General features: G+C 40.0%; 1 long non-coding RNA gene across 11 annotated transcripts in view; it reads right to left on the reverse strand.

Moving 5' to 3' along the window:
• LOC102724078 (uncharacterized) overlaps positions 1 to 13,998 on the reverse strand; it is a 187,103-nt gene that overhangs the window by 40,850 nt on the left and 132,255 nt on the right. For 8 of the 11 annotated variants that reach the window (XR_007064561.1, XR_007064566.1, XR_007064562.1 and 5 more), the window contains exons 3-5: positions 11,178 to 11,384; positions 10,439 to 10,524; positions 9,450 to 9,592 (exon numbers count right to left, since the gene is read on the reverse strand). This is a non-coding gene — a long non-coding RNA (uncharacterized LOC102724078). The other 3 variants (XR_007064559.1, XR_007064568.1, XR_007064569.1) reach the window with 3 other exon arrangements.

Below are 13,998 nucleotides of genomic sequence, written 5' to 3' on the forward strand. Positions count from 1 at the left end.
ATTTGTGTGAGAGATACCAGTGAAAGGTGGATTTCACATTGTGAGATGAAACATCTGGAGAGGACTAGAGTCTAACTTGTGCATCAGCTGGAAAGAAAGACTGAGGGGTCATGGGAACTTGCACATTACGATCCATGTAACTGCACTTGCCAGAATGTAGGATCAATCTGCTGCTGAAGAATATCCTAAATCAGAGAGTAGATAGGAACCAGAGGCCGTAAACTCACCAGAGATGTTAGTGCGGCCTTGAGGTTAACTGCTGCTTGGAACACAGAGACGTGATGCACTGAAACTAAATCTGGGCTGAGGGAAAGCATGTCCACACCAGGTGCCCAGACATCTGGTTGGCTTTGGCTGATTTGTCCTGCAGGCACCTGCCTTGTCTGGATTTGCACACTTTCCAAGTTGCCCATTACCCTGTGCATTTCCCAAGCTGCCTTCCCTGGCTCTGATGTACGATGAACCTGCTTGAGTGGCATATTTATCATAGTGCAATCAAGAGGCATGAGCCATGATTGATGACATATCATAAATGGGAATATGCATATCATCACACTGGGATCTGACTTAGCAGTTCATTTGGCCTTACTATAAGCTGATTTCTTGAAAGAGCTCAGATTCCTGGCTCAGAATGCCTTTGATAGAAGAGTGTGTTCTCAATGGAAGGGAAGCAATAGTTATAATTTTTTCTCAGTGGACCAGTTCTCAAGTGAAGGCAGAATTTTAACCAGTGTTCAGCGTCTTCCATTAAAATCCCCAGCTCTCCATTTTTCAGTGTGAAAAAATCCAGGCCAGGGTTTCTGCAGACAGTAATTTTTGATGGCAGGGTCAGCAAATTGGACTAAGTGTATGTACTGTGATCTCCATAAAAGGGAATTACTGAATTTTCTGTCCACTTAGCAGCGTCTTTTGTTAATGATGGGCAAGAAGCTTGTATTATTTATGGAGCACTTTGACATCTCAGCAGTTTATGGAGTATATATGAAGAATGGGAGCACTTTATCTTCTAATAAAATGTTGCATAACAACTTTAGTACTGAACTTTTTTAAAGAAGGAATCATGGATTATCCTGCAGCCAAGTATTAACAGAAAGGACATACTGTGATCTCACATTCAAACTACTTCAAAGATAAGGAGATTTATTTTGCCCATTACAATTTTCTCCCAGAGCAAATAACCATTTTTATTAAAATGCTGTAAGTTCATCCAGGTAGGATTTGGGTGAAGATAATTTGGGACAAGCCACTGTGTACTGGTAATGAAAACAGAAATGAATTCAAGCTTCTAATGGAAAAGTGACAAGCAAATAAATTAATCTCCAGGTTATTCAATTTTAGAAAGTGATATAAGATGTAAGATATAACTAAAAACTGAAAAGGAAAGTTAAAACAGTCTCCAGGTTTCCATATGGATGATTTGTAATTAAAATGATACTGGAGGGGAGTCCAGGACACATCTGAATATCGAGCTTTGCCCACAACCTTTCTGATTGCTGTTTCTTAGGTGTTTACTGCAGTGCTTCTTTCTCCATTTCTGCATAAGTGTGGACAAAATTCACATGTGCCTATTACTAGTATAAAGGGCACACACGGCCAGGCGTGGTGGCTCACGCCTGTAATCCCAGCACTTTTGGAGGCTGAGGAGGGGGGATCAGGAGATCGAGACCATCCTGGCTAACACGGTGAAACTCTGTCTCTACTAAAAAAAAAAAAAAAAAAAAAAAAAAAAAAAAAATTAGCCCGGCATGGTGGCAGGCGCCTGTAGTCCTAGCTACTCAAGAGGCTGAGGCAGGAGAATGGCGTGAACCCGGGAGGCAGAGCTTGCAGTGAGCCGAGATCCCGCCATCGCACTCCAGCCTGGGCGACACAGTGAGACTCTGTCTCAAAAAATATAAATAAATAAAATAAAATAATAAAGGGCACACACTGTGCTTGCTGCCTGAGACTGGCCAAGGGGTCTCTTAGTTTTGTCTGTTACTTAAATTATCAACTCCACCTAACTACAGGAAACACAGAAATGGTGTGTTGCAGTCCGGACACTGTGAGCAGCATGAAATTCTATCTCGGTGTCTAGGAAATGGGGTAGGGAAGGGCCAGTCCAGGGCACAGGTAAGAATAGACTTTTGCCTCTGAGCTCTCCCACCTTTCTCTTTCTCCTTATGAGTTGCTCTTTACCCTAGGATTTCCAGACACTCATGCTATTCTTTAGTCCTAAAAATTCCTCCTCAAAGTCTTGCTTTTCTCAAAATGCCTTATGCCCCATAGTTACCATGTGAGCTTCCTCCCACGTCCTTGGTCCCGCTTCCCTCCTGTGGGCAGCTTAGTCAGTGTGCCCTTCCCTCCACACGCCCAGAGGGCTGGCTCCTGCAGGCAGCACCTTTGCAATGGCCTCCAAAACAGACTTGAGACAAGCGCATAAAAGGGAGGAGGAAGCAGCGCTCCTGTAGGTCTCCTGGCTCTTGCTCCAGCAGGATGGCACAGGAAGACACATGAGGTCTTTTTTCTTAACTCAGATGTTCAGATCAGAACTCTTGTCTGGAGCCAATGAGCTGAGCCCCTGGGGAGCCAGGACTGATCCTGGTTTTAAGGCAGTTAATGTTCCCTATTCTTGCCTCCAGGTGTTTTTGAAATCCTCCCTACCCAGATAGGCACAAAAATAGATGATGTGTCTGGCTGCAAAGAAAAGCTATGCACATTCCTAAAAGCAAAAATGATACAAGCCATATTTCCTTCCATAAAACAAATAAACTAAAAATAAAGAATGAAAGGATAGCAAAAAAGAAAATAATTTATCAATAGATGCAGTTTTCAACAGATTACATAGAAATAGCAACAGAGAGAATCAGTGAGGTAGACATTAGCACTGAGAAATCACTCAGATTACAGCAGATATATAAAAAATGGCGACTGGGAATGATCATTTAGGAGGAATTAATGATAGAATGCACAATCTGTAAGAGTTCTAGGAGAGAAAGAATGGAGAGGAGGTATTTGGAGCTAACAGCTGAAAATTTTCCATAATTGAAAAATGTAATCAAATCAAAGAAAAAACAACCTAAAGAAAGTAGAAGCAATATAATAAGATTTAAACAAAATGATTTAGCAGCTAAAATTCACAGATTTCATCACTAAAATAAAAAGACAGTTCTTTGCAATGAAAAGAGCATTTAAAAATATTTTGTAATATAATATAAATACAAATATAATTTTAAAAGCAAGCTGGTATAAATATATAAATATATTTAAAATATAAGATATTAAATTAATATATTTCAATGTCTAGATTAAATGGACAGTTTTTGAGAACACTATAAATTATCATTTTTAACTTAATAAGAAACAAAATTCAAACAGTCAAAAGCATCTAAACCAAATTTAAAAGATAATAAAAAGAAAAAAATCTATCCATAATAATGAAACCAAGTTCAGGGATTTTCTTGAGTTAATAAATTTTATGAAACTTTAGCTCATAGATTAGATTATCCCTGTGTGATACAGACTTTGCTGTAGCATCAAACAATATGGGAAGGCTGCTACCTTATTCTGTGAGGCTAGTATAAAACTAACACCACAACTAGACAAAGCTGACACAAAACTAAATGAGATCAGCCAATCTCACTAACACAGAGAGCTGCAGAAATTAAACCCCAAAAAATCTTAGCGAATTTCACAGAATAATGATTTTTAAAAATGTGTGTGTCTTGTAAAATCAAGACTTAGATATGCAAACATGATTCAATAGTTTCAAAATCTATTAATTCAATTCTGTATGTCTTCAGATTAAAAGAGGAAAACAAGATCATCTCAATCAATATCAAGAAAGCATTTGCTAAAACCAACATCCTGATTACATTTCTGATAAAAATGTAAACAAAGCAAAACAGTGAAGTTAGAAATAAAAGAAAACTTTCTTAATTTTGTATAAGAGAGATCTAGAAAACTGGAGCAAACATAATAGCTAATGGCAAAATATCATAAATATTCATGTTAAAATTATACACAAGAAAAGGACACCTACTAGCACCACTTTTATGCAAACAGTGAATAAGAAATCTTAGCAGTAAATACAGAAACATTGTACAGACAGCATGAAGAAAAGACAAAACTGCCATTTTAAAAAGTTTTATCTGATAATCTACCCCAAAATTTCACAGAATTAACTGATAAACTATATTAACTAGTAAGGTGGTCTGATATAAAATAAACATTTAAAAATACTTACTAACAATAACCAATTAGAAAACATGATAGAAAGAAACAAATGCCATTACCAATTGTTTAAATGCACACAAAACCCCAAAGAAGAACTTTTATTATCTAAATGGAACCTCTTCTAGCATTACAGAGACCCCAATATCTAACAACTCCCTTAGCAACGTGACGTTCCAGGTGGTTCCAGGCAGGTGTGGAGGCTCTGGGTGCACAGGTGAGCAGCGACTCTGCCATCTTTTATACCCTGCTTCCAAGGCTATCATGGAGTTGCAATCCTGGTTAGCCAGAGAGGAGGAAAGCATGGAAGAGTGTGTATGTAAGGTTGTTATGGGGTGGCCTGGAAGTGGCATTCATGTATTTCAGGGCTCATCTGTGGCATCACACCTTCTTAAGGTCACTGGTTTGATACTGATTAGGGTAGAATCAGCTGTAGTAACAGACTCAAACGTGTAACAACTCCATCCAAGAGCAGTTCATGTTTCACTCATCCAAAAGCCCAGGGCAGCAGTCCAGAGGGGGAGGTTGGGACTCTGCTCCACTGCATCATTCAGGGACACAGGGGTTCTGTCACCTTCCACAGGTTTCTCCCAAGATCACCCTGGGAGTTGTCATCCAAGGCAGGAAGGAAAGAGAGCTTAGAGAAAGTGTGGGATGGTTTTAAGGTCCTGGCTTGGAAGTAACATCCATCACTTCTGCTCAAATTCCACTAACTACAACCTCAGTCATATGACCCCAACTAATTGCAAGGGAAGCTGGGAAGGGAATCTAACTGCTTGCACAAAGAAAAGGGTTGATTAAATTTTGAAGAGTTGCCAGCAAATTCTACCATAAACCTGACAAAGAGTATACAAGTCTGATGTGAATAAAATTGTAAACTTTGTTGAAGAATGTTAAAAAAAAAAAAATAAGAGGAGACATACCCTATACCTACACTGAAAGATACAGTCATGGAAAATGTAAATTATCTCCAGGTTAATCTATACATCTCATGAAAAACTGGATCCCTTCCTTACCCCTTATACAAAAATTAATTCAAGATGGATTAAAGACTTAAATGTCAGACCTAAAACCATAAAAACCCTAGAAGAAAACCTAGGCAATACCATTCAGGACATAGGCATGGGCAAGGACTTCATGTCTAAAACACCAAAAGCAATGGCAACAAAAGCCAAAATTGACAAATGGGATCTAATTAAACTAAAGAGCTTCTGCACAGCGAAAGAAAGTACCGTCAGAGCGAATACGCAACCTACAGAATGGGAGAAAATTTTTGCAATCTCCTCATCTGACAAAGGGCTAATATCCAGAATCTACAATGAACTCCAACAAATTTACAAAAAAAAAACAAACAAACCACCCCATCAAAAAGTGGGCAAAGGATATGAACAGACACTTCTCAAAAGAAGACATTTATGCAGCCAAAAGACACATGAAAAAATGCTCACCATCACTGGCCATCAGAGAAATGCAAATCAAAACCACAATGAGGTACCATCTCACACCAGTTAGAATGGCGATCATTAAAAAGTCAGGAAACAACAGGGCTGGAGAGGCTGTGGAGAAATAGGAACACTTTTACACTGTTGGTGGGACTGTAAACCAGTTCAACCATTGTGGAAGTCAGTGTGGCGATTCCTCAGAGATCTAGAACTAGAAATACCATTTGACCCAGCCATCCCATTACTGGGTATATACCCAAAGGATTATAAATCATGCTGCTATAAAGACACATGCACACATATGTTTATTGCAGCACTATTCACAATAGCAAAGACTTGGAACCAATCCAAATGTCCAACAATGATAGACTGGATTAAGAAAATGTGGCACATATACACCAGGGAATACTACGCAGCCATAAAAAATGATGATTTCATGTCCTTTGTAGGGACATGGATGAAGCTGGAAACTATCATTCTCAGCAAACTATTACAAGGACAAAAAACCAAACACCACATGTTCTCACTCACAGGTGGGAATTGAACAATGAGAACACATGGACACAGGAAGGGGAACATCACACACCGGGGCCTGTTGTGGGGTAGGGGTAGGGGGGAGGGATAGCATTTGGAGGTATACCTAATGTTAAATGACGAGTTACTGGGTGCAGCACACCAACATGGCACATGTATACATGTGTAACTAACCTGCACATTGTACACATGTACCCTAAAACGTAAAGTATAATAAAAAATAAAAATAATAATAAACCCCCCCAAAAAAAGAAAATTTTCAATTTAACTGAAAGTTTTATGAACTTGATAAAAGGTTTTTAAAATTCATATGGCAGATGTTTTAGTCAGTTTTGTGCTGCTATAACTGAATATCTGAGACTAGGTAATTAATGCAGAACAGAAATTTATCTCTGACCGTTCTACAGCCTAAGTCCAACTGAGGTGCTGGCTGGCTTAACTATCGGGTAACGGCTATTCTCTGCTTCCAAGGTGGTGCCTTGGATGCTGCATCTTCCAGAAGGGACAAATGCTGTGTCCTCACATAGCAGAAGAAAAGTGTATTATTAGTCCGTTTTCATGCTGCTGACAAAGGCATATCCGAGACTGGGCAATTTACAAAAGAAAGGGGGTTATTCGACTTACAGTTTCACATGGCTGGGGAGGCCTCACAATTACAGCAGAAAGTGAAATGCATGTCTCACATGGCAGCAGACAAGAGAAGAGAGCTTTTGCAGGGAGACTCCCATTTTTAAAACCATCAGATCTCGTGAGACTTATTCACTATCACGAGAACAGCACGGAAAAGATCTGCCTCCATGAGTCAATTACCTCCACCGGTTCCCTTTCACAATATATGGGAATTCGAGATGAGATTCAGGTGGGGACACAGCCAAACCATATCAGGAAGGAAGGGTGAAATGGGGCCAGACTTTCTCCTTCAAGCCCTTTTATAATGATATCAATTTGAAGAAACCTAAACATCTCTCAAAATGCCCCATGTCCCAACACTGTTGTATTGGGCATTACGTTTACAACATATGAATTTTGGGGGACATATTCAGACCACAGCAGTGGAGAATGTCTAATTCATTTTTACAAAGAGAACGATAAGATGGCAAATTTACTTGTATTTCATTCCATTTTGTGTTCCCATAAAGGAATACCTAGGGCTGGGTAATTTATAAAGAAAAGCAGTTTCTTTGGCTCATGGTTCTGTAGGCTGTACAAGAAGCATGGTGTCAGCATTTGCTTCTGGTGAGGGCTTCAGGCTGCTTCCACCACCAGTGGAAGGTGAAGGGGAGCAGGTTTATGTTGTGGTGAGAGAGAGAGCGAGAGAGGGTGAGAGAGAGAGCGAGAGAGAGGGTGAGAGAGAGGGCGAGAGAGAGGGTGAGAGAGGGAAGGGGAGCTCAGGCTCTTTTAATCAACCAACTCTCTCATGAACTATTAGAAAAAGATCTCACTCACTGCCAAGCAGATATCACCAAGCCATTTACGAGGGATCTGCCCTCGTGACCCAAGCACCTTCCACTAGCCTCCACCTCCAACGCTGGAGATCAAATTCAGCGTGAGATCTGGAGGGGACAAATATCCAACTATACCAGCTTTTTCTTATCACTATTGATCTGTTGTATTTAAAACATTGTAGTATTGTACCAAAGTAGAAAAATAAAACAGATAAACAGGCTCGAGGTTTTAGAAATATATCCTTAATATTACTCATCCTTAAAAAAGGAAGGAAATCCTGTCACGTGCTACAACATGGATGAATCTTGAAGCCACTAGGCTAAGTGAAAGAGCTGGTCATAAAAAGAATGCTGCATGATTTTACTTATATGAGATACATAGAGTAGTCAAATTCATGGAGACAGAAAGTACACTGGCAGTTTCCAGGCTTTCCAGGATTTTCACCCTTTTGAGGGTGAAATGATGAGTTATTTTTTAATGGGTACATGTTCAGTTTTGCAAATTAAAGAATTTCTAGAGATAGATGGTGGTCACGATTGCACAACAATGTGAATGTACTTAATACTACTAAACGGTACATTAAAAACAATTAAGATGTAAATTTTTATGTGTTTTTGCTATAAAATTTTTAAAACTCTTTAAAAATTAATATACTCTTCTGTTAATGAGATAGTAGCTTATGACAAAGATAATGGTGTTTAAAGTCAATAGTAAATGAATAGCTCATTCAATAAATAATTTGGAGATAATTAGATATCTATAGGAAAAATTTTTTCTTACATTATAAAAAATGTTCAGATATAAAATGGTACTGTAAACTTATTAGGAGAAAACATTATAGAGTGTTTTCATAATAGTGCAATGGTATAAATGCCAGATAAAAGTTAAGATTGTAAATTTAGTAAAAGAAAATATACGGAGTGGTTTCATTATATTGAAGTGAAGTACAAGTATTTCTAGGCAATGTGCAAAAATCAAAAGTCCTACATAAATCTAATGAAACGTTTGTCTTCATAAAAACCTAAAATCTTCTTTAGTGAAAAAGCAAAACACTGTAAAGTCAATGGGCAAGTGGTAGATTGGTAGATAATATTTGTAACATATTTAATCAATACGGATGAATATCAAGAATATATAAAGAGATCCTAAAATTGATAAGAAAGAAAAACATTTTAATAGAAAAATTTAGACCATGAACATACTCTCTCGGAAGAGTCAAACATAGTAAGCATATGAAAATGTGTTAAACTTACTCAAAAATCAAGAAATAGTATGTTACAACCATGAGACTTTTTCCTCATCTATTAGGCTGGGATTAATTTAGAAGAGGCAGGGTAATCAATGTTCTCATTCATCATTGGTGGGAGTGCAAATGTGTAGCCTTTCAGAAAAAGTGGCAGTAATTCTCAAAATTTAAATATGTACATATTTTGATTCATAAACTTTACAGCAGGAATCTATCTTAAATATGATGCCCAAGTGTGAAAAGGCATATATACATAAAAATGTTCATTTCAGCATTGTTGATTTAAGGAGAGATTGGGAAGTTAGATATTCATCGACAGGGGAATGAATAAATAAGTTTTGCTATAACCATACTGCAGAATACTCTGCAGCCATTAAAAAGAATAAGTTTGGCTTATAGGTACTAACCTTGGAGGATCCCTAAGACATGCAGTTTAACAAAACAATGCATATAGAACGATCAATTGTGTAATTGTATAGTAACGTAATGGAAAAGATTCATGCTGTATTGGTTGGGTATGGCCACAATTCTGTTGTGTAACAAACTCACTGGTCTTGAGGAAAATAACTTACTCGTATGAATCTCTGGGTCATGGAGCAGCTCTACCCTGACACTGAAGCAGTGCTCTGGTCTGCTGCACCTGATTCTCAACCTCCTGAGTCAGCAGGCTGGCCAGGATATGTACTTCTCACAGCGGTGGCAGAGGCGCAAGGGCCTGGACAGAAACATTTCAGACCTCTTAAAGTCTTGAAAGGAAGAAAGAAATATTTTTCCATTGCATTTAAGCAGTAGTGCATTTTAGCTAATTTCTACAATTACCATTGATGTAGTAGATGGAGAAATCTATTAAGTCCTTAAATTCTAATAACCTTGATGCCACAAGCCACATTAACAATATTAAGATTACTCCTTTGAAATGAACAAGTTAACCAGCTTTGCCCTTGTAGAGCTCACAAAGACCACAGATTTTATCCAGCCAATACCACTCAGTCAAAGCATTGGAGTTTTAAACGTAGACAGGTTCCCAACACAGCCACAGTCCAGCAGGTGAGGGGTTTGCTGGCTCTCTGGGACACTTCCAGGACAGATGTGTACTGTCCTACAAAACAGCTCATGCAATTCAAAGAAATCGAGATGGAGCTGATGTCAAAAGCACACTAAGTACTTAATAATGAGTTCGTATGGTTGTATAGTTAATAATTACTGTTAGGAAATCTACAATGGCTAAAATACACCCTTACATTTATCCAGTAAGTAGTGTTTAGATACCTATCTTTTTGAAGTCTAAAAATAAGTATGAACGCTAATATCATTTGGGCTCCTTCTTCAAAGCTGTTTCCCCTTGACTCTTTTATGAGTAAAAAAATATGCATAAAGTACAGAAAATGTGAGCCGTTTATGAACATCTGATGTGAGATGTTAGGGTTGACTTGGTATGTCCTTTGTCTTGAATGCAATGCTGAGTGGGAAACGGGATTCCTATAACCCAAGGCGTGCAGTGGTATTATGATTCAATTATCACCTCAGTTGCAGGGGAAGAAAGGCCTATTGCAGCAAGTACCTTGGGTGCTGTATCTGACCTTCACGGTGGTGGTGACAGCAAGGCTTGCGTCATGTTCAGAGAATCAGACAGCTTCTCCAGTGACACTAAAACCAAAACAAAACATCTTTGTTTTACTTACAAGCAGCAAGGCAGATAGAGCTGTATAAAATAGATGCAGAATTTAATGGAGTAGGTACAAAATTACAGCGTAAGTTCAATCCTCAGACTCGCCAATACATTTGTGTAAAAGTTAGGCTTTGATTGTAGCAGGGGGCTCTCCAAGACTTGGAATTGGGTTATCTGTGTGGATTCAAGAAAAGCTGGGAAATTTACACCCCAAGTCTCTCTAAGCCATCCTTGCTGAAGGAAGCAGCCTCCTCTCCCTGCCTGTAGAATCTTCCCTTATTTGAAGACCTTTTAATAACTTCACATGCTTGAGCTCCCTGGTAAGGTGATATCTAAAACTCTCAGGGCTCACTCCCATCACCCATTAGTGCATGAGACCCATAATTAGGGTCACAAATGTCAAGTATGTTCCACAGGGAGAAAAGCAAAGTCCAATCCAGAAGGACATGGTTTATAGGAGAGAGAGAAAAAAAAGAGAGAGGGAAGAAAAATGATAAAAAGGGCAATACTCACCAATTCAAAGTACCAGAAACATGGGTAAATGTAGTGCATGAATCCTAAGAACATTACACCACAGAGCACAGAATTCAACACTGAATAAGGCTGACCCCATCCATGTGAGAGCACTTACAGAGATTCTAGCTGAATGTGCTGATTTGGGCACCATGGAGCAGCTCTCACAGTTTGCATGGATGGTGGAGTGAATTTGAACTTAATGATGGCTCACATCTGAAGAGGCCAGACTCTCCTGCTCTCTGTGATGGACTTGTTCAGGGAAATGTCTGCATCCCAGAGAACATCTTCTTCCACCATACCCAGGACACCATCTTGGTTGAATCTGGTGAGCAAGCACAGCAAGAACCCTAAATGTCTTAATGAGACACATGTGTGGCAAAGAGTGAACAATAAACCCCATGAAATCTCGAGGCCCATGCCTTGGGGAGGTTTCTCATGGCCCTGTGGTCTGAAGCATGTTTGGGCATTTCTTCCAAAGTGAAACAGAAGTTGTTATTTCATCTATTACCTACCCCTAAAAAATGGGCACGGTGTTGAGAAAATGTCTTTGGAGGCAACAAATACCACATTTGAGAGTGCTGTCCCAACCCATTTATTGAGTAACCAACAAAGCTCCAAGGTAAGTGACTGGGGCCATATGGACACACATAAAAGTATAATTGAAGGCCAGGTGTGGTGGCTTACAACTGTAATCCCAGCACTTTGGGAGGCCGAGGCAGGCGGATCACAAGGTCAGGAGTTCGAGACCAGTCTGGCCAATATAGTGAAACCCCATCTCTAGTAAAAATACACAAATTAATCGGGCCTGATGGCGGGCACCTGTAGTCCCAGCTACTCGGGAGGCTGAGGCAGGAGAATTGCTTGAACACAAGAGGCAGAGGTTGCAGTGAGCTGAGATCTCACCACTGCATTCCAGCTTGGGTGACAGAGCGAGACTCCGTCTCAAAATAAATAAATAAATAAATAAATAAATAAATAAATAAAAGCATAATTGAATATCTGTTTTCAGGAGCTTCTGGCAAGCCCAAATGAGAATCGCAATGCAAATATATAGGGCTTTGGAGAAAAGCCATGTTCTACTCTGCATATAATTATTATTTTAAGAATCAACTCTTATCTTGCTATGCTATTGAGCTTTGTCAAGACAAAATGAGAACTTCATGACCACTGTTCATCATGAATTGGCTATGCACCGACACACTAGGCCATAAGGTGGGAGGAGAATAAGATTCGGCAAGTCCAGAAACAGGTTTCATGAGCAGGTGACTGCTAAGGACTCCGATTCCATCTTTTCCTTCTTCTCCATCTTTTCTTCCCATAATTTACACTTAGGACCTCATTGGGAGTTGCCTACGGCAGCTGGTTTGCAGATGGTTCTGTTATGCTGGCACCAGCCATAAGTGGATCGCTGCCAATGCTACTGTCTCACTCAAGGATAGTGCTGAAGAACAAAGGGAAAAGGATAGCTTCCCAGTGGACAAAACTTGTAGCAGTAAAATTTAGTTTTTCATTTTATCTGCGTAACAGATGGCCAGAAGTACAGATCTACACAAATTCATGTGTGGTTCTCTGAGTAGATGGTCAGAGACTGGGAAAGAATGGCATTGGATAACTAGTGACAGACTGAAGAAGAGATGTGTAAATGGACTTCTCAGAAGGGACACAGGGTGGGGCATACCTGTGTCCCACGTGAATGTTCCCTGAAGGTCATCTGCTACACAGGAGACTTTCAGGAATCAGGGGGATGTGATGACACATTCAGTGGGTGTGCTGGAAGGCTCCGGGGTGTTTGCTCAATGGGTCTGGGTATAAAGTGGCTAAGGAAGTGGTGATAGAAGCCACTCAAGGGTTCAGCAGCATTAACTTCCCGGGGGAACCACTCAGCCACATGATAGGGCAAGCAGATTGTAACACTGACCTCCACCAATTTCTGCCTTGTCCTGATATAATGGCACAATGGCCTGAGAATACTCAGTTACAGCGCCCATAAAGTGACAGCATTCTGGAAGTAGTATATGCTTTGAAGCAGCAATCAATCAACAGAATACAGGAGTCTGGAAATCAAAGAGGCATAATTGGAAATGGCTCTTCTCATATTTCTTCTGCAGGATTTTTGCTTCTCCCTCCAGAATCTTGTGCTTTGCTGGTTTGGAGATTCTAGTTCCTAAGACAGAAGTGCTTCTGCTGGAGAAAATAAGGCTGTATCTGTTGAATGGGATACTGAGGCTTTATTCTGTCATTTGAGGCTTCTTATTCCACTATAAAGAATAGAGTAACTGTCCTGGCTGATCCCTAAGCAGAAATTGGGTTTCTGCTCACAAGGGAGGTAGGAAGAACCATGTCCCCCTAAAAACCCAGGGGATGCTCTTGAGTGCTTCTTGGCTCTGCCACACATAATAGAAAATGTTAGTGGACAATTTTGTGGGCTAGATTGTGTCCCCCGAAAAAGCTATGCTAAAATCCTAACCCCCAATACCTGTGAACGTGATGTTATTTGGGAGTACAGTCTTTGCAAATGATATCAAGGGTAGATGAGCTGGATAAGGGTGGGCTCTAGTCCATGTGACTATCGTCCTTATAAGAAACAGAGAAGGCCGGGCGCGGTGGCTCACGCCTGTAATCCCAGCACTTTGGGATACCGAGGCGGGCGGATCACGAGGTCAGGAGATCGAGACCATCCTGGCTAACACGGTGAAACCCCGTCTCTATTAAAAATACAAAAAATTAGCCAGGCATGGTGGCGGGCACCTGTAGTCCCAGCTACTCGGGAGGCTGAGGCAGAAGAATGGTGTGGACCCAGGAGGCAGAGCTTGAAGTGAGCCAAGATCGCACCACTGCACTCCACCCTGGGAGACAGTGAGACTCCGTCTTAAAAAAAAAAAAAAAAAAAGGAAACAGAGAAGAGACACAGACACACACAGAAAGAGTGCCATGTG

Source organism: Homo sapiens, chromosome 15 (genome assembly GCF_000001405.40).
Source record: "Homo sapiens chromosome 15, GRCh38.p14 Primary Assembly".
Lineage (NCBI taxonomy): Eukaryota > Metazoa > Chordata > Mammalia > Primates > Hominidae > Homo > Homo sapiens.